Source organism: Homo sapiens, chromosome 11 (genome assembly GCF_000001405.40).
Source record: "Homo sapiens chromosome 11, GRCh38.p14 Primary Assembly".
Taxonomy (NCBI): Eukaryota; Metazoa; Chordata; class Mammalia; order Primates; family Hominidae; genus Homo; species Homo sapiens.
In genome coordinates this window covers 117,478,019-117,498,335 of record NC_000011.10, presented here as the reverse complement: position 1 = coordinate 117,498,335, position 20,317 = coordinate 117,478,019, and the positions used below count along the sequence as shown (strand labels likewise).

Sequence of the window (20,317 nt, the reverse complement as noted above, 5' to 3'; positions counted from 1 at the left end):
AGAGCTGAGGGACGGCTGTTGGCAGAGCATGTAAGTGGAGCCTGGGCACATGGATTGGGTGTCCACACACTATACTCACAAGGCCCCTCTCAGCACAGGTGACAAACTGAGGCCCCAGAGAGGGCAAACAACTGGCCCAAGATATTCCTGTGTGTTCCCCGGTGGTGGGTCCTATCTCGTCACAGACTGAAGCTCCTTGGGGGCTGGGGCTGGTCTTCGCCTCCCTGGGTGGGAACTCTCACTTCTGGCACCCAGCTCAGCACAGGCCTTTGCCCACTCTGGAATCTGGACTGGCTGACGGACCTCTAGTCCACAGGTCTGGTCCAATCCCATCCGGGCTCACAGGTCACCCCCTCTGCTCTTCCCTTCTCCCCTTGTGAGTCCCCCTGATTGGGCGAGTGGGGGACGGGATGGACTCTCTGCTGCATCTGCAAGCAGCAGGGGGAGGAGGCGGGGCAGCACTCAAGGGCTGAGGCCTGGGTGCTGAGTTACGCTGGCCTGGGCCTGGTGCTTGGCCCTGCCACAGCTGTGGGATTTGGGAGCCATCACCTGCTCTCTCCAGCCAGGTAATGATCATAGTCGGCCTCACCTGCCCAGCCTCCAGGTGGCAGAAAGGGCCCCACCCTGGCCCATGCCAAGCTAGGGAGTCCCCTCTGGAAACCTGGGGCCCAGTGCCCACCCCCACCTCCACCGCTGCTGGAGGGAAGGAGGGAGGGAAGGGAAGAGAGAATGAGCCATTGTGATGATTTCCATGGCAATGATCATCCGGCTGTCTCTTTGGCCTCATTGATTTTGAGACTTCACAGAATAAGGAGCAACACTCTGACTCCTGCTTCATCAAACAGAGGTGAGGAGAAAGGCTGGACACTTCCTCTCATCAGGCCAGGCTCCCCGCCGCAGCCCCCATTCTCAGAGGAGCAAGGAGTCAGTAAACCTCCTTGGGCCCTCGCCAGGAGGTCTGCAGCCCTGAGCCAGCTGCAGGCTCTCCCCACCCTCTGCAGAGCCCAGGGAGGCCAAAACAAGTGGTTCATTTAGGGGACAGAAAGGTTCTGATCCTTGTTCATGTCCCAGTGCTCCTCGCTATGCCCTGGGTAAACTGGGCATAGTCCTTCTCCCAGGGACTCAGTTTGCTCCTCTATTCAGAGGGGTCACCATCCTCCTGTCCCTTTCCCTCACCCACTAAGGCATGACTAGAGCTCAACAAGTGGGTTGCGTTCTGTTGTGCCAGTGGAGACTCGAGGGCATGTGTCGCCAGTTCCAGGCCCCAGCATTCAGAAGCTGTAGGCTTTTGTGCTTCAGGGAGCTATAGGAAAGATGAAGATAAGCCTGAACCAACGAAACATGGGAGATCTTACTGACCTCCCAATGCCAACAGTATCACTGGAGCAATCACATCGCATCCCAAACCTAACCCCAAAGTGGACGTTTGTACAAAAGTTTCAAGGTCGAATAGAACAGTCTCCATGTGGAACAATCTCCATCCTCGCCCTGGTCCCCTGACAAGCAGGGAGGTTTTATTAAAGGGATAGGAGGGATGAACCTGCCCATGCATCCTCCGGTTCCAGTTTAAAAGTGCTTGTCCCTAAGGGTCTCATCTGGGCTCTTACCTCCTTCTTAGAGGCCTTAGCCAGTGGTGGCAAAAAGCACATCACCACCACTTCACTCTCATCCCTGCAGTCCCCATGACCACAGCACTGAAGAGTTTCCAGATGGATCTGAGCTCCAAGGTACCATAAAGGGCAGAGACCAGATGAATCACAAAATTGTGTGTATCCTGTATGTCAGTTAAGGTGAAGGTGCCAGGAAATGCTCCGAGACAAAAGAGAGTCAAGGTTATCATGGGGCAGCTCTACTTAATAGATAAGAAAATGCAGGCAGGCACAGAGCTTAGCAGTGCCTCCAAGCCCTGCCCTAAGTGGGCAGCCCAGAATTGCTCCCCCAATGACAGTTGAAGCCCCTCTGAATGGTGGGGCCAGAATAAATTGTTGGATGAGCCAAGTAATAACCAGGTGCTTCCTGAGCAGCCCCCGGGTGTCCAGCCTGGTGACAAAGACTAACAGAGAGAAAGGCAAGATTGAAGCACCCTCCCTGCCCTCCAGGAACATACAGACTCGTTAGGAAGCTGGAACTGACCTTCAGGAAACAAGACAAGATCACGTGCTAAAATGTTTGGCACTGGAAGTGTGATGTGAGGTTAGAGAAGGAAAAACCCAAGGTGGACAGACGTGGTCAGATGGAGCTTCCCGGAGGGATGGGCTTGATTGGGTTTGGAAGGGCAAAGGAAGAAAGGAGGCATCCAGGTGGAAGGAGGAGCATGAGCAAAGACCCTGGGGGCAGGAAGCCCAGGCAGGCAATGAGGCGCTCACCTGACCAGACGGAGGCTGCTGGAGACTAGAGGAATGGGAAGTATGGTTCTGAAGTCTGGACATGATGCACTAGATGATAGGAATGATATTAAGATCTTGAGCATGGAATGGAGAGAAAACGGAACTCTAAGAGTCATTCTGAAGGAACAAATACCAGGCTTTGATGAATGGGACAGAGGAGCTGGGAGAATCTAGGGCTCCAGGCTGAGAGATGAGGATGATGGTCCCACCAATAGAAATGGAGTAGATGGGAACGGAGGGGTGGCATGTTCACTGTGACTGTGTCAAAGTGGAGGTGACAGGGGGTGCCCTGAGCAGCCGGATGCTGGCTGACACTCTGCCAGGATCCTCCCTAGAGCTGTGTGCTAGACCAGGCAAGCCTAAGGCTCCCACCCCCTGCCCCCCGCTAAAGTGACTCATGACTCGTGTGATTGGCAGGTGTCCTGTCCTGAGCCAGAAAGCAATGAGACTGGGGGCTGAGTGCAGATTCGCCTAGAAGCCTGAGCCTCCACCCACCCCTCCCTGCCTAGTCCTCTGGGCCTCTCAAGTCCACAGAGACTCTAGACGTGGCAGGATTCAGTTCTAAAGAGCATCTTCTCCTGTCTGTGTTTGCTTGCATTCAGCCCTGGCACTGTTCATCCATTACACAGCAAAGAGCTTGAGCCAGGTGCTGGGGAGGATATCAGGGGCAAGATGGGCTTGGTCTTTGCACACTCCTGCACCTGCCTGCCTACCGCCAGCTGGGGCCTTTGGGGCTGGGAGCATAACAGGGGGTGCACTCCCCATAAAGCAGGGAATGTGAAGCCAACCTGGCACCTAGGAAGCCCCCCTACCCTGGCCCAGCTCCATGGGGCAGAGGCTTGGCTACCATCCCTGGGCACTCTGCACTGAGAAGGTCTTATCACACACTGGATCCCTGCGTTAGTTTCCAGTGGCTGCTGTCACAAAGTACCATAAGCTGCATGGCCTGAAACAACAGGAACTTATTCTGTCACAGTTCTGGGAGGCTGGGAGTCTGACATCAAGGTATTGGCAGGCCCATGTGCGCTTGAAAGGCAAGAAGGCTTCTTTGCCTCTTCTGGTGGTTGCCAGCAGTCCTTGATGTTGCTCGCACTGTAGACACATCACTCCAGTCTCTGCCTCCATCACCACATGGCCTTCTCTTCCTGTGGCTTCACATCCTCTTCCCTCTATGTGGGTCTCTTCTCGTCTTATGAGGACACAAGTCCTATTGGATTAAGGGCTCACCTTACTCTGGTATGACCTCATCTTAACTTACATCTTGATTACATCTGCAAAGACCTTATTTCCAAGTAAGTCCCCGTTCACAGGTACCAGGGGTGAGGACTTCAACATATCTTTTGGGGACACAATTCAACCCACAACAATCCCATGCCCAGCCGGTGATCTGTTATTGACAACTCCATGCTTTCCAGCATCTGAAACTGACATGCTCTCCCTCCCTGCATCCTATAACTGCTGCTATCTGAATGCAAAATAGTTTCCTAGCCAAAAAATCCCTCTAGGTCAAGTCTAAAAGCCCAACACTCCTGTGCACAAAATCTCAGGGCAGGGTTCAGTAACCGGGTCTCATATCTGGCCAGTGGTCTATGTAACTGGAAGCCAGCCACACCCGTTCTGTATGTTGTGTTGTCTGTGGCTGCTTCCAGGTACAACAGCAGAGTGGAGTCCTTGCAACGGAGACCTATGGCCCACAAAGCCTAAAATATTTACTTCAGGCCCTTTACAGCTCTAGGGTATTCACAGCAATGACCTGGAAGTACCTTCCAAGTGATCAAAGGAAGATGGCATCTCCTTCTGTTTCTGAAAGGATTCTGATGTTCAGAGTCATTTTTCTCATGTCTAAAATGGAAATAAAAAATACTACCCACATCTTAGGGCTGTGTTTGGAGAAGTGAGGGTTAATGAGATAATTCATGTACAGCATTAGCCATGGTGCGTGCACATAATAAGCTTTCAATAAATGTTAGCTATTATTATTACTATCATTTTTCCAACATTCTTGGGAAAGTAGAAGACCAGGCCAGGCACAGTGGCTCACACCTGTAATCCCACCATTCTGGGAGGGAGAGGGGGGCGAATTGCTTGAGCCCAGGAGTTCAAGACTAGCCTGGGCAATCGGGCGAAATCCCATCTCTACAAAAAATACAAAAATTAACCGGGCATGGTGGCACACACCTATAGTCCCAGCTACTGAGGAGGCTGAGGCAGGAGGATCACTTGAACCTGGGAGATTGAGGCTGCAGTGAGCCATCATCATGCCACTGCACTCCAGCCTGGGTAACAGAGTGAGACCTTGTCTCAAAAAAATAAATAAATAAAAAGTAGAGGACCAGGCCTGGTGCGGTGGCTCATGCCTGTAATCCCAGCACTTTGGGAGGCCAAGGTGGGCAGATCACGAGGTCAGGAGATGGAGACCACCCTGGCCAACATGGTGAAACCCCATCTCTACTAAATACAAAAAATTAGCTGGGCATGATGGCGCACCCCTGTAGTCCCAGCTACTAAGGAGGCTGAGGCAGGGAAATCACTTGAACCCGGGAGGGGGAGGTTGCAGTGAGCTAAGATCGTGCCACTGCACTCCAGCCTGGTGACAGAGCGAGACTCTGTCTCAAAAAAAAAAAAAAGAAGAGGACCAGAGGCAGGGGGAAAACTGGGTCCCCATCTTCATTTGAGAACACTCCCCGTCCTGCGCGTCTACTCTTTAGCAAGGAGCCAAGAGAAGAGGTGACTGGCCCCATTTTAAAGCTGGACAAAGTAAGGCCTGGCGAGTTTGAGGGCCTCAACTGGACCCCCAGTGCAGCAGAAACAGCTCTGCAGTCCAAGTCCCCAACCATTCTCTGTGACCCTCACCCCTACCCCTTGCACACATACTGTTCGGCCCAGTTCTGCTCCCTGTGTACTGGAGCAGTGGACAGCCAGGGTCCCATGGGCCCCAGCTCCCCTGGCACCTCCCCACTGGCTCTTGGCGCTGAAGCTGATTGCTTCCATGCAATCTGAATTAATCTCATGCTTCAGGTGGAGCTTGGCTAATCAGGAGAGACAAGAAGCCGAAGTGGGTGCAATCAAATTAACAACGCCATGGCCCTGGCTCTTTAAGAAGGGAAAAACAAAACAGGCACCAGAAGGCACCCCCTCCCCACTCCGCCCCCAGCCTTTCCCAGGGGAGGCCTGGAGATGCCGCTGCCGTCGAAGGCTGAGTGAAGCGCTGCTCCCACCCGCCCCGCCGACCACCCGGCGCGCCAACAATGCCCCTTTGTGGCGGCTTATCTCACACCGCCAAACAGCACTGCAGCTCTTGTCGGGAACTTGTTAACAAGGAGCAGCGACACAAGGCTTTTGGGGGAGAAGGGGAGTGGGGTGGGTTGGGGAAAAGGAGGGGCCCCCTCACCTCTCAGGGGTGCATGTAATCCTTTCAGAAACAAAAGGCGATCCGAGCCTTGAACACACGGGCTCCCTGCTCCCTGACAAGGTGGGTTCACAGAGCCCTTGAGAGGCTTCAGGGTACCTGCTGTCCCTTGGAAAAGCCTCTCCCAGAAGGCAAAGAAGAGGACATCCAAGAAGGCATTTTATCGTCCCCAAAGCATCTTTTTTGGCGAAAAGCACTATGAGAGTCCCGGAGAGATTTCAGTTAGACTTTCAGGAGGACTTTCTGACAAAGTCAAGTCCCTTCCTGATGAAGGACACCCTAAGTTTGCTGCCCTTCTTCCAATCCCGTTGCCTCTGGGGTTGTCCTGCCAGAGGCAGCTGCTGTCATAGGAGGTAGAGGAGGGCTCATCCAGCCCTGGGGTTCTTCTCCAAACCACGTGAGAATTACCTCGGGGTAGGGATGGGGAATGCAGGCGGCCAGGCCCACCATGGAACAATAAGTCAGAGCCTGGGGGGCAGGGTAGGATCTGTGTAATATTTTTTAAAAGCTTCCAAGGTGATTCTCAGGTGTAGCCAGGCCTGAGAACCTCCTCCAGACCCTCCCCCAGACCACCCACCTGGCAGTGCAGACTAGCCTAACCCCTTGGTCCCCTGGCTCCCAGACCAATCTTCTTTCCCCCAAATTCACGTGCATTTTTCTTCAGAGAAGCTCAGCTTGGCACCCCTATTCTTGGGCCCCTGATTCTACTTCGATGTCTACTGGCCTTCTCTGATATTCATGGGGTTTTTTGTTTTTTGTTTTTATTGACACAGAGTCTCACTCTGTTGTACAGGCTGGAGTGCAGTGGTGCAACCTCAGCTCACTGCAGCCTCCACCTCCTGGGTGCAAGCAATCCTCCCACCTCAGCCTCCCGAGGAGCTGGGATTCCAGGCACACGCCACCATGCCCAGCTAATTTTTGTATTTTTAGTAGAGACGGGCCATGTTGGCCATGGCTGGTCTCAAACTCAAGTCAAACTCAGGTCAGCTCAAGTGATCCACCTGCCTTGGCCTCCCAAAGTGCTGGGATTACAAGCGTGAGCCACCACACCTGGCCAACATTCACATTCTTACGTCATGGATGAGACCACGAATGACCTGGGCCATGGCCTGACTCTGCCAGTTACTAGCCATGTGACCAGGGGCAATTTATTTATCTCAGCCTCAGTTTCCCCATCTGTGAAGTGAAAATAAAAATAGGGTTGTGTGAGGATTCCATGAGTTAATGCAGGTAACAGAACTCAGAACAGTACCTGGCACATAGTAAGCTCTCAGTATAACAGACTGTGATGATTATTATCGTAGTCATGCCCATGAATGGGGTGAAGATGTACCCAGGCTTCCTTTTGGAGTTCAACATTCCATGCCTCTGTTGCATTTTAGCAGCCTCTCCCGGCAGCCCGTGGCATTCTCATCCTGTTCCTTCAACATCCTCCTTCCCACACACACTGCTCGCTCGCTCCTCTCCTTTGGGTATTCACAACTGAATCTTCACTCCCTGGTGACTTGGGGACTTGTCAGAAACACCAGCTGAGCTCCAATCACCAGAGGAAAAGAGGCCAGGAGACAAAGACAGGGAAGGCCAGACTCACCGTTCTCCCCAGATCCTGCCTCCAGCCCCAGCCTGCCCTGGACTGGCCTCCTGGCCCTGCTAGCCCGGACCTCCTCCAGTGTTCAGCCTCTTTCAAAATCCCCCACTCACCTTCACTCTCCCCAGAATCTCTCCATGTGAGGAAGAAAAACCTACACAGGAGAAGGCTAGGATAAACCGAAAGAAAGGAGCTGGCCAGTTGTCAGAGGACTTGGGGTTCAGTCTCCTTCCTGCCACTCACCAGCTGTGTGACCTTACATAAATCACTGAACCTCTCTGGGCTTCCATTTCCTCACTGGTTCTGTAGGGGATAATAGAGCCAGGCCACCTCCTTAGTAAGAATGAAGCTGGAGGCAAAGGATGCAGCACTGCTTTGTAAACTGCAAGGAGCGGGCCTGCCCCAGCTTATTAAGTTGGACCCCAGTGGAAGCGGGGATCTGGGGGTGCTAAGTAGGGGCCAAGTAGGAGCAGAGTTTGCAATCCCCGTGGCAGGGTCTGGGGACCCCTAGAACTCTACCTCCACGCCTGGGGGTTGGTCAGAAAGTGTGTGGATGCCGGGAGTGAGTGAGGCAGCAGAGCTGTCTTGTGGTGTTTTAAAAATCTATCAGCCTCTCACATCAAATTAAAATGTAAATAGCAGCTGGTCCAAGCAGGACCTCAGGGGTGACAGGAGCCGGCCTGCGAGTAATTTCACAGACGGGAACCGGTTACATCAGATTCTGACAACTGTCTTGTTTCTGAAATTGATTTCCTCCCACCTCGGCTTGCTGCCCTGAAAGAGCCCTGGAGCAAGGGGAGGGGGTGATTCCTCTACGGCTCTGGTGCCTTTCTCCTCTCCGTGGTGCTTCCTCTTTGAGGGGTGCCTGCCCATCTCAACGAGCAGAAGGAAATCTGGAGTTTCCGCATGGTTATAAGGCAGCTTCCTGAGCCCCAGTGGCCCAGCAAGGCTCCCCGCTCCCCTGAGTGAGCCTAAGTGTGGACTGGGGCAGGCTGCCCTGGGGCACTGGAGGAGGACGGCAAAGATACCCAGTAAAGCTCTCCTTTCCACAAACACGAGCTAAGCCCTGGAATAGAGATGCTTCTGCCCTGGAGAGTCTCACAGTCACACACAAGGAGGCAAGGACGCTGCCGGAGGACACGTGCCATGCAGGGGATGCCCCGCAGGAGAGGCCTGCATGCAATGTGGGGTGTCAGGGAAGAGCCCTGGAAGTCATCAGGAAGCCTCCTTGGCCTCCACCAGAGTATGCCCCAATTTGGTCATCACAGTGCCAGGCACTGTAGCAGGTGCTGGGGACTGTAACTGAGGCTTGAATGAAATGGGCCGTCTTCACACCAGGGTCTTCACTCCCCCAGGGTCTCAGAGAGAAGACCCTACCCCACCTAAAGCTGCTGTATAGGAAGGAGCTGTGTATTGAGAAGGAGCTCACCCACACCACTGTGCCTAGCCCTAGCCCTTCCCTTCTCTCAAGTCCCCAGAAAGTCTCCCCTGCACCCGTTTGTAAAGAGAAATCAGATTTCCCTGGCTGTTAATTGAATTAGATTGCAGGAAAGCAGAGAAGTTGTATTTCATTAAAGCCTCCTGTGCCCTACAGAGCAGTGAGGTGCTTTTGTGGCTGTCATTAGCATTTGTCACGCAGGACCCAGCCCTGTGCATATACCCCACCCCGGCTCTCCCGCCTGCACCCCTAAAGCAGCAGTCCCCACTGCCTGCCCCAGGAGTACCTGCTGCAGCTGCCCCGCCGCAGAGGCCACAGCTTTTTGGTGACAGCCAAATTCCATTTCCAAAAGCCAGGGACTGTATGCAAGGGTGGCAGACAAACAGATGGCTAGAGGTGGCCAGCCCCCTTAGAGGTGGAAGAAACACTTTCTGGAAGCCTCAGTTTCCTCATTTGAAAAGTGGAGATGATAAGACTTGCTTTCGTGGTTGCTGTTGGGAGGAACCACTGAACAACAGGCCAAAAGGCAGAGGCATCCAGCTCAGGGCCTGCTTTGTCAGGGGAACCTGGGCATGCGGGAGGCCATGGAGCTTCGTCAAGAAATACACTGAGACACAGGCTTTGGAACCGGGGCATAATAACAGTGCCTACCTCAGATGAGTTCATTCATGCAAAGTACTTAGAATCCTGCCAGGACATGGTAAGCACCCAATAAAAGGGAACTATACAAGTGTGTGTGTGGAGAGAGCCTGTGCTTATGGACTACAGCAGTGTGGGGAGATGTGTGTTAAACAAGCACATCAGGGTATTGACATGCAATTGATCATTGCATCGGGTTATGTGTGTGTAATGCCGTCCATGGGTTTATGGTAAGGGTGTCAGAGCATAGGCTGTGAGGGTGACTGTGTTTGTGACTGTCTGTTGAGGTGTGTTTCTGACACTGCCCCTCTGTGTGTGGTGTGTGTGTGTGTGTCTGTGTCTGTGCATGTCAGGATTTGTACTCCTGGTGAGTGCATATGACCATCTCCCCAGGGAATTCGTGGTGGCCGCCTTCACCCAAAAAGCCCTGTGAGGTACAGCTGGTCTCCATATAGAGAGAGTTCAATCTTGTTTATTACTGCGACTCAATGAAGCAGAGAGATCTTGTAGTCCAGAGCAAGAAGTAAGGGGGAGGTGGAAGAAGGTGAAGGATCAATGGGGCAGGCACCTATGCCCTGAACTTCCCCCTATTAAGGGGCTGCCTTGTTAAGCCCAGCAGTACAGCAGCCAGGAGGGCCAAAGCTCCTATTTGTGGGCACAGGAGGACACCGTGGTCCTTGGAGGCTGGGTGCAGGGCCGGATGGAGGGGCACAGTGGCAGAGTTCTCTGTTCTGGTTAGTTGGCAGAAGAAGAGGGGAAGAGGATTCCCTGCCTCTTACTGAGGACAAGGGGCTGAAAGCGCCCATCTGCAAGGACACGAGTACTCTGATTCATAGAACCACTTCATCAGACAGTGAGCCACATTCCCAGACCGTCTTTCCCTCTCCTGAGACCCGGGCACCCCCAAGGGCCCAAAGACAAGGGGCCCAGATCCAGGCCTTAATTGACTCCTTTCTGTGAGGCCACAGGTTGTCTACTTCCAATGCAGGGAGCTTGCCACTTCCCACTGTGGCCCTTTCCCCAAACAGCAGAAAATACTAGAACATTCCTTCTTAGGCCAAGTAGGAGGTCTTCCCTTCCCCCCTTGCAGTGTCTCTCCCTTGCTCCCTGGGTTACTAATTCCCAGTTCTCAGCATGCTTTGAAATCGGCCCATCTTACTGGTCACACTCCAGCCTGTCAATGTCCTTCGTCAAATAGGGTCCCCAGAACAAGACCTGATATTTCTTGGTTAATGTTAGGAACAGATAACCTGAGCTTGTAATTATGAGTCCTAGAGAGCTGAGAAATCGCATTCCCAGTGATACCGGGCCGCCCACCCTTCACAGCATCGCTGTGTGTTCAGTACTGCCCTCTGCAACCCATCCTCTTTTAAGATGCTCTTCTGCTTACCAGCAACGTGACCTTGGGCAAATTGCTTCCTTGCATCACCTCAGTTTCTCCATTTGCCAAAGGAAGGGTCTGTGTCACTGATCTATACCAGTTCCATTCAGTAGAACCATAACGTGAGCCAAATAATATGTAATTTGAAATCCCCTCTCTGTCACATGTTCAAAAAAATAAAAAACAGGTGAGATTAATTATAATAGTATATTCTATTTAACTCCATACATCTAAAATATTAACAGATAGTCAATATAAAACTTAATGACAGCCAGGTGCAGTGGCTCACACCTGTAATCCCAGCACTTTGGGAGGCTGAGGCGGGTGGATCACCTGAGATCAGGAGTTCAAGACCAGCCTGACCAATATGGTGAAACCCCGTCTCTACTAAAAATGCAAAAATTAGCCAGGCGTAGTGGTACGCGCTTGTAATCCCAGCTGCTTGTGAGACTGAGGCAGGAGAATCACTTGAATCCAGGAGGCGGAGGTTGCAGTGAGCCAAAATTGTACCACTGCACTCTAGCCTGGGCAACAAGAGCAAGACTCTGTCTCAAAAAAAAAAAAAAAAAAAAAAAAAAAAAAGGTATTTTACATTCTTTTTTTTTTTCTTCCTACATTTTTGAAATCCACTATGTATTTTATACTTATCACACATCCCAATTTGGGCTGGCTGTATTTCAAGTGCCCATTAGCCCCATGTGGCCAGCAGCTGCTACAAATTCAGTAGAACAGGTCTTCATCTGGGCTCTGCAATGCTAGGATGCTAGGATTCTGTGGAATCACCTGGCAAGTAACACCTGAAGCCAGTAACTTGTACACGTGTATTTTCTGAACTTGTAGGAGTAACAGACATGGGTCTTATACAGTCTTGCACTTCCCAGATTAACTTTTAGGGGCAAGGCCTGGAAGGAAGCTGGCAGTATTCCCATGGAAGGATATACATCCATCTTACTGCACCAGGTCTCTGCTTTCCTTCTTGCCTGAGACATGCGCCTTTCACATCCACCATTTTCACATCCACCATTTTCACATCCGCTACTTTCATATCTGCCACTTTCACATCCGCCATTTTCACATCCGCCACTTTCCCATCCGCCACTTTCACATCCGCCATTTTCACATCAGCCACTTTCACATCCGCCATTATCACATCCGCCATTTTCACATCCGCTACTTTCACATCCACTACTTTCACATCTGCCATTTTCACATCCGCCACTTTCCCATCCACCACTTTCCCATCCGCCACTTTCCCATCCGCCACTTTCCCATCCGCCATTTTGGGAGTTCAGCAGACCCAGTTTAGCTAATTGGCTGATTGCATTCACTTGCGCTGGCGAGGATGGAAAAGAAAATGACTTCTGACCTAGTTTTTTCTTTGAGCCTTTTCCATGGAGTCTGGTAATGCATGTCAAGCCACACACCCTTTTCCCTGCCACTTGTACATGTGAGGTAGTCCTTATTACCTGGCACCCAGTTGTTTTGAATTCAGGGGCTAATTATACCAGCCCAGTGGGGTTCTGGTTATCAAGCTAGGACCGGCCAGCGCTGGCTGACACCAGTAGGTGTAGCCTATGACACAAGGAACCATTGGCCAGGCCAAGAAGAGCCACTTTTGACACTTCAATGGAGGTTGACTCTGGCCAGGTCCTCTTTTGCCTAGGACCACATTCTCTGACATTTGCTTTCAGTACCACAGTCTGTCTTCAGGCCACAGACCTAGGCTTTTTTCCTCTACCCAAAAAGACCCTTGTCCTGACACACAAAATGAAAGGCAATAATCTATGTTGCACGTCACACGTTTCTATAAAAAAGAGCTCCTGTCTTGATGGAACCCCTTGGGGATAGGACTAGAATCCAGGTTTCTTAAGCAAGTGCTGTGTGGCAGGCAGTTTACATATGTGGGTTCACTTTGTCCTCACAATGCTCCGTGGGGCTCACAGAAGTTAGCTTTAAGGGGTGGAAGGCCACATAGCTCGCAGCCACAGAAGCAGATCCCAGGCTGGCCTGGCCCCAAGCCCCTCAAGCTTCTCTCCTCTTCCTCATGAACGGGCTCCCCTGAACTAGCCCTGAGCTAGGGGACTGTAAGAGTTGTGGTGTGTGATGCTCATTGCCATCCTAAGCTGGTGGAAGGGTGAAGGGACCCTGTCTCAGGCTCCAGGTATGGTTGTTACCACACACAGAAGGGCTGAGGGGCCAAGGATCCCTGGGGACCCTGCTGTCCCTGGCTGCCCACAGGGCTGAACAAAGCTGACTAGAAAGGCAGGTTCCCTGAAGTGGGAATGGCATGTATGGATACACAGGTTGTGCACTGCTCAAAAGTACATAGCCTCAGGGGTGAATGGGGTCTGAAACATGGTCCCTGCTTCATTGGCCAAGCTGTGGCTCCCGGCACCAGGCAGCACCCAGCCAGAGGCATGGTGGGGTTGCCTTTGTAATTCACACACAGGTCCTGGAAGGGTTAGTGCAGGCCTGCCTGGAGAACAGAACAGAGGTGTGCTGCAGAACTGTGAAGTCCTCCTACCAAAGAAAGACCCTCCCAGCCCCACTTACACACACACACACACACACACACACACACACACACACACACACACACACACACACTGTTCCTCTGCTTCTCTGTGGCTTCAGCAGCAACCTCTCAGGAACAGGATTCCTCCCCAGGAAGGAGGCCTCAGGGCCCGACCCATGGGGGTCCCAGTCCCCAGTCCGCTTACGAGCCTCCCCGACACCCGAGCTCAATTCTCCAGTAAAAAATGGAGGCATCTGCAATGCAAGTCCTGACTTGTTGGTGTAAAATCTTACTCTATATTCCACCCAGGTTTATACGAGTGAATTATGCAAATCTTTGATGGAAAAATATTCCTCCGCACATCCTTGAGAGTGTAAAACCTTAGTCAATAATTCATACTCGGATGTCTCTGACTGCAGGCTTTTTCTTCATTATAACTTGCACCTCGTTATTTGTCTTTTGCATTTTATTGTATATCCTAGTGTAATGCCGTGCATTATAAAATTTATCTGCTTCATTATTTGATGAGCTGGGGCTGGGGAATGTGCTGAGAGGCTGGTGCGGGGGCCTGGAGGCCAGGGCTGTCGTCAGCATCAAGTCCTGCATGACAAGGCAGCAGAGGAGGTGGCTTGCTGTGTGGTGTGACTTCGGGGAGCCTGAAACCTCCCTTCATCCACCCTACTCCTGTCCCAGACGCCTCCTCACCCACGGACTGGTGTCAGATGGCACCGTGGCAGCTCTGTGGCTCCCCTCATTTCTTCAAAGGCTTATTTGTCCATAAAAGTCAGACGTCCCTGGAGAGTTTGCTGGGAACAACTTTGCCTGAGCAGGCCTTTAAAACTAGGAGAGAGAAAAACCCTGAGAATACCCGGAAGGAAGGAGGAGAAAGGGCCAGCTGTTGAAATGGAGCAGAGACACGGTGCCGGGGCAGGGGCGGGGGGCAGGGGCGGGGGGCGGGCAGGGAACTGGGTTTTGAGGACAGAGAAGACAAAGCCCCTTTTTGCACGATTGCCCAAAGCAGGCCAGTGACCAGGATAGGGTGAGCTGGTCTCTGCTGTGACAAGAGGTATTCCCCTGAATGGGGGTGGGGGGTTTCCGATTCTTGCAGCCAATGACAGCCCCTCCCCATTTATATACTCCAGGATGGCTCCTGGGCATCCCTCCTGAGACAAGAGCCACTGGAAGGCAAATTTTCCCAGAGAAGAAAAGGACAAGGGTAGTCTCCAGCAGCACCAAATCACTGACCTTCCTGGGACCTGCCCCGCCTATGTCTGCCTTGGAGCCTTGGCTCAAGCAGATTCTCCTGCCTGGGCGCCCTTCCCTCTGCTCTCCCCATTTAAGTCTTGCTGGGTCAGGGGCCGTGCATTTCTCCCAGCATAGGACTCACCACTCTTCACTGAAATTGCTAGTCTTGTCTGTTCTCACCACTAGAGTGAAACTCCCTGAGATCATAGGAGTTTCAAACATGAGATCACGCCATGTTTGTCCTATTCACTGTCAGCTCCAGAACCCGGGACAAGACCTGGCACATAGAAGGTCTCAATGAATCCTTGCTGAATGGATGGACTATGCTTTCCCTGATGCCCCTCAGTCAAAGTTAATGTCTCCTAACCCTTTGATGAAACACTCATCAGATTTTCCTCCAGTTCATGTTGCCGGTGCAGGTATCTGTCTTCCCCTCCCTCCAGAGGCAAGGACCCTGTCTCATTGTCATGCGTACCCCCCAGCCTGGCACGAGGTCTCATGATGGCATAAGTGCCCCATGTGTGTTCATTGAGTTGGGCGGAGGAGAAAGGGGACAGGGTTTCGCTGCAGCTGAGACCATTTTTCCCCTGCCCCTTGCCTCCTGCTGCTGCCGCAGGTGCTCAGGCCCAGAGGAGGGGCCGGTGATTGACAGGCTTCTTGTCTGAGCAGTAGGGACGGGGGCTTCCGATGACCAGCCTGGGCCCTGGTTGTTTGGTGGTGATTTTCTCAGTCCTGTTAGCACTGCTTGTGGATCTTACTTCTTGTAGTGGTGTCCAGGGTTTTCCTTTGTATCTTGTTTGAAGGAACAGGAGGGAGATAAACAAGCCTTAGCTATAGAGAAAAAGCAGAGCCTTGGTGCTTTCAAGAAGGGTTCTTAACCTGGGGTCCAGAGGCCGCTAGAAGCTCTATAGATCTGATTCAGGGGGATCCATGAATGTGGGAGGAGGGAAAATCACATTTTTTCACTAACTTCTAACTGAAATTTAGTATTCCTTCCATTTTGAACATAAGCGACAGAATGCAGCAATAGCAGCCCCGTGACTGTCACCAGCAGAAATCCTCGGATATGCTCCCATCACATCACAGTGATTGCAAATATCTCAAAATATCACTTATACGCAGCACTATTACAGGATCATGGTAATATAAGACAGCAATTATACGAGCTACCACTGGATCTTATTTTGTAAAGAGTAGTAAAGAACACATACTGATAGGTGATATACGATATCGAAGGTTTGCTTGTTCATGTTTTTAATATTTGCATAACCATATTTCAATACAAGTGGTTTCCTTTATAGTTCTATGTATGGCATACCTGTAAAAGCATTCTGAGCACAGGCCACTCCCTCCCCAGAAGAGGAATGTGGGACCCCCGGTGAAGAGGGAGGCTGCCCCAGTCATGGATGGATGTGGGAGAAGGGACAGGCCAGTGGGGTTCCCTGTACTCCTTTATTGGAGCCTCTCCTGGGGGAGGAGGGCTGGGGCGGGGGCTTCTGCGCAGGGCACGCGTGCCTCCTCCAGGCTGGTCTCCCGACCTTCACTGGGCCTTCTCTGCCTCCGCCCCCCAGTCCCGGCCATGATCACTTCCCACCCCAACACCACCATCGCCATCAAGGGCCATGCGAAGGAGCTAAACTGCACGGCACGGGGTGAGCGGCCCATCATCATCCGCTGGGAGAAGGGGGACACAGTCATCGACCCTGACCGCGTCATGCGGTATGCCATCGCCACCAAGGACAACGGCGACGAGGTCGTCTCCACACTGAAGGTGAGCACCCCCACCTCAGTGCTGGGGGACCCCAACTCTCAGAGAGTGGGGAGCCCGCAGCTATCACATCTGCATCCAGGAGGCAAATGGGGAGCCTGGGAGCCCCTCCCCACACCCCAAAAATGTACCTCCCCTTTCCCACCTATTTCCCCTCTCCATCCAGGAATCTGTGTCTCAGAACTTCACTGTATCTCCTTTCTGACAACCCCACAGCAATCAAATGTGGTTTCTTCAGTCCCACCTTCTTTTCTGGAACCCCCAGGGCTCCATTCTCCCTTTTGGGACCCCTCAGCCCCTCCCTCTCTCCTGGATCCCTCAGCCCTTCCCACTCTCCTGGACTCCCCCCTCAGCCCCTCCCACTCTCCTGGACCCCCCCCTCAGCCCCTCCTACTCCCCTGGGACCCCCTCAGCCCCTCCCACTCCCCTGGGACCCCCTCAGCCCCTCCCACTCCCCTAGGACTCCTCAGCCCCTCTCTCCCTCTGGTGTCCCCCAGCCCCTCCCTGTATGAAGCCCTCCATACTTCCATCTTTGGAAGTCCCTGGGAAGAGAAGCCCTTGACAAAGCCCCTGTGGGTCCCCCTCCCAGAACAAGAGGGCCTTGCTGAGAGCCCTGGAGTGACCCCTTCAGCTGACCAGCTCTAAAAGACTCTCCCTGTTTACTCCCTCTCCTGCCCCTGCTGGTGGTCTCCCAGCTCAAGCCCGCTGACCGTGGGGACTCTGTGTTCTTCAGCTGCCATGCCATCAACTCGTATGGGGAGGACCGGGGCTTGATCCAACTCACTGTGCAAGGTACCTTCACCTGCCCCACCCTTCCCATCCCACCTCCCCAGGGCCCAGGGGCCCACCGCTAACTCCACCTCAAAGAGCAGGGGCCACAGCCTACGCCATGGTGGAGGATGACAGGAAACTGCCTTCTGGGGAAAAGCCTCCCTCCACCTGCCCTCCTGCCCAGAGTAGGGAAATAAGACCTTTCCAGGAACTTAAACAGCAAAAGTTTGCAATGGCTACAGCCGCTATAGATTCCACTGACCCTTCTGGGGAGGGGTGGGGGAGTCAGGTTCCTGGGTCCAGGCCCCTGCAGCAGGTGTGGGAAGGGAAAGTCAAGCTGGGGAAGTTGGAAGGGGAAAAATGCCGTCAGCTAACAGGAATCCCTGCAGAAGAGTCAGCCCTCTCCCAGGCCAAGAACAAGATGGCAGCAAGACAGGAGAGCAAGCCAGGCCTCCTCAGCCTCCAAGCCTGGCTGCTGGCCTCCTCCAGCCCCCACCCTGCTCAAACCCTAGGGTGCCAGAGTCCTTGGCTAGACCCAGGTGATGCCAATCCTCAGGGCCAAGCAGGAGGCCAAGCTCCCTGCTGCCCTCCTCACTTCCCTCCCCTCCACTGCCGCACCCTAGAGCCCCCCGACCCCCCAGAGCTGGAGATCCGGGAGGTGAAGGCCCGGAGCATGAACCTGCGCTGGACCCAGCGATTCGACGGGAACAGCATCATCACGGGCTTCGACATTGAATACAAGAACAAATCAGGTAGGCGCTGGGCCAGGAGGGTGACAGCGTGGCCTGCCATGGCCCCTTGTGCCACGTGTCCTGCCTGTGCCCTCTGGGAGGAGAGCCCCTGAGCCTTAGGGCTGCCCATCCAAGCTAGACACACAAGCACCCACCAGTGCACAAGCAGCTGTGGCTTCTGAAGGGAGGGACACTGGCCGGGCTAGGAGTCCGGGTGGAAGATGGAGACCCCCAGTTGATGGGTAGTGATGTCAGCTCCTTTCCAGGACTGTCCCTGGGCCAGGGTCCCCAAGGGTGGTCTGATTTGAAGCCATGTAAGGGCACTGAACCCAGGGCTGTGGGCTGTCTCTGGCATCAGAAGCATCACGGGTTTGGCCAGGTCATATGGGTGCTCCTGGTCTGGGATGAGGAGGATGATTGGAGATCAGAGAGCTGGTCCTAAGAATGGTCCCCATGAGTGGGGGATAGGAGGCCCTGGAAAAGCTTGGACCTATATTTCCTCTAAGAGCCCTTCCCAGCTGGGCGCAGTGGCTCATACCTGTAATCCCAACACTTTGGCAGGCTGACGCGAGTGGATCACCTGAGGTCAGGAGTTCGAGACCAGTCTGGTCAACATGGCGAACCCCATCTCTACTAAAAATACAAAAATTAGCCAGGCGTGGTGGCACACCCCAGTAATCCCAGCTACTCAGAAGGCTGAGGCAGGAGAATTGTTTGAACCCATGAGGCGGAGGTTGCAGTGAACCAAGATCGTGCCATTGCACTCCAGCCTGGGCAACAGAGTGAGACTCTGTCTCAAAAAAAAACAAAAAAAGCCCTTCCCAGAGCCCTCCTCTCAGGTGCCAACTGGCTGCTGTGCGGCCGCCCCGCCACTGTGAGGCACTGTGGGGCGCCATGGGCACCCCGCATCTGGGGAGACTGTGGTAAGTCCCATGGTCAGGTGGCAGGAATGGCAAGGAGGGGCCTCAGAGGGGAACAGAGTGCACCTGGGTGGCTTCACAGCAGGGTGAGAAGAAAACAGCTGTCTCACTCTGGATCCTTCGTACCTTTTGAATTTGATACCATAAGCCTGTATTCACTCCTCAAAATAATTACAAATTAAACTATAAATAAAGCATAGAAAACAGTAGAATCTAGATTACTCAATCTTCCTCAGTCTCCTTCCCTCACCAGCTCAACTCCTCTTGTGGGTCCTTACTTAGATGGAAGGTTTCGTTTTCTCCTGAAGCTTCCAGACCCTTCTTCTCCCACTTAGCACGGCAGTGGCCATTGGCCGGCCGGCTGTCCTCTCCTCTTGATTGGCCAAGTCCTGTTCCCTTTGCATTTCCAGCACCTGGCACAGGGCCCAGCCACATGGTAGATGCTCAGCAAGTGTTGGTGAGTGAGTTGAAGTGGGACATGTGAAAGCAAATCTCTGAGCTGCATTCACCCCTTGAGAAGCCACTCTGTCCAGGGACCTGGGTCAGTCATCTTTGATACACATGTCTACAGAGACAAACCGTATTCTCAGACACTTCCGGTTGAGTTGCGGTAAGCCACCCAGGAGTTCAATCTGAGTGCAGGAGGGCTACAGATCCAAGGAGGGGCGTCAGCCAACAGGGGTTGTCCAGGAAGGCATGTGTCTGGTCCCCTGTAGATGCTGCACTGAGATGGGTCTTGGGTACTGAAAGGCAACAGGCCAAGATCTTGAGAAAGCGAAGGACAGAGACCAAGTGAGGGTGCAATGCACACCAGGAAGTGGCCTATGATCTAGCACAGGGCTCATAGATGCAATTCATGGGCAATAAATCTACAAAGGTGCTTTGGGACCAGGTTGGGAGGGAGGCGTCCGGGCTGAGCTTTCACTTTGCTGGGGAAGGTCACTGAGAGCCGCTAACAATGTCTGAGCTCCCGGGGGAGACTTGAGCAAACATGGTGCCTTAGAAGAATGAATGTGAGTGGAAGAAATTGGTATCCAGGAGAAAAGAAAAGAGGCCATTGCAGCCCTGCAGCTGGGGATATGTGATGAGGCAAAGGGGACAAAAGGGCTGACTGTGTCCATGTCACATCTCAGGGCTCCCTGAGGTTGGGCACAGGCCACCCAGGAGTAAACAGGAAGGGCTGGGTCCAGAGGGTGACATCCCTCATGGCACTGCACACACCGCCTCCCTGCCGGCGCACATCTGGGATGGGAGGTGGATGCCTGGGCTGTCGCTCGTGCCCCTCCCCCCGTTCCTCCTCCCCCATGCTGCCCTGATGCCCACAGCCCCTCCACTGACCAGTCTCTAATGCGTGGGAGCCTCTCCTGGGGCACCCCTCAGCAGGGGCAATGTGGAGAACATCACACGTCTGGAGAGCAAGGCAGAAGGCAAGGTGGAAAGGGAAGATGCTATTCTTACAGCACATCCACGTCTTGCCCTTCTGGCTCCCTGCAGAATGAGGAACTGCGGTAGACCACCCCAGCTA

General features: G+C 53.2%; 1 protein-coding gene across 8 annotated transcripts in view, besides 4 other annotated features; it reads left to right on the top strand.

The window, feature by feature from the left end:
- The window catches only part of DSCAML1 (DS cell adhesion molecule like 1), a 389,743-nt gene that overhangs the window by 319,179 nt on the left and 50,247 nt on the right, over positions 1–20,317 (top strand). For 4 of the 8 annotated variants that reach the window (XM_011542918.2, NM_020693.4, XM_011542917.3 and 1 more), the window contains 3 exons: positions 16,174–16,373; positions 17,066–17,162; positions 17,765–17,893. In XM_011542918.2, coding sequence (XP_011541220.1) covers positions 16,174–16,373; positions 17,066–17,162; positions 17,765–17,893 — 426 coding nt within the window. Of the gene's footprint in view, positions 1–11,508; positions 12,244–14,332; positions 15,743–16,173; positions 16,374–17,065; positions 17,163–17,764; positions 17,894–18,433; positions 19,002–20,317 lie in introns of those variants that run through there. The other 4 variants (XM_011542921.2, NM_001367904.1, XM_011542924.3 and 1 more) reach the window with 4 other exon arrangements.
- Positions 2,881–3,382: an enhancer, noted in NCBI's record as "H3K4me1 hESC enhancer chr11:117365669-117366170 (GRCh37/hg19 assembly coordinates)". NCBI's record gives its function as "activates a minimal SCP1, AML or CMV promoter by ChIP-STARR-seq in naive H9 embryonic stem cells {active_cell/tissue: H9 hESC(naive)}" and the evidence as "EXISTENCE:reporter gene assay evidence [ECO:0000049][PMID:30033119]".
- Positions 7,890–8,390: an enhancer, noted in NCBI's record as "H3K4me1 hESC enhancer chr11:117360661-117361161 (GRCh37/hg19 assembly coordinates)". NCBI's record gives its function as "activates a minimal SCP1, AML or CMV promoter by ChIP-STARR-seq in naive H9 embryonic stem cells {active_cell/tissue: H9 hESC(naive)}" and the evidence as "EXISTENCE:reporter gene assay evidence [ECO:0000049][PMID:30033119]".
- Positions 14,708–15,210: an enhancer, noted in NCBI's record as "H3K4me1 hESC enhancer chr11:117353841-117354343 (GRCh37/hg19 assembly coordinates)". NCBI's record gives its function as "activates a minimal SCP1, AML or CMV promoter by ChIP-STARR-seq in naive and primed H9 embryonic stem cells {active_cell/tissue: H9 hESC(naive and primed)}" and the evidence as "EXISTENCE:reporter gene assay evidence [ECO:0000049][PMID:30033119]".
- Positions 15,211–15,714: an enhancer, noted in NCBI's record as "H3K4me1 hESC enhancer chr11:117353337-117353840 (GRCh37/hg19 assembly coordinates)". NCBI's record gives its function as "activates a minimal SCP1, AML or CMV promoter by ChIP-STARR-seq in primed H9 embryonic stem cells {active_cell/tissue: H9 hESC(primed)}" and the evidence as "EXISTENCE:reporter gene assay evidence [ECO:0000049][PMID:30033119]".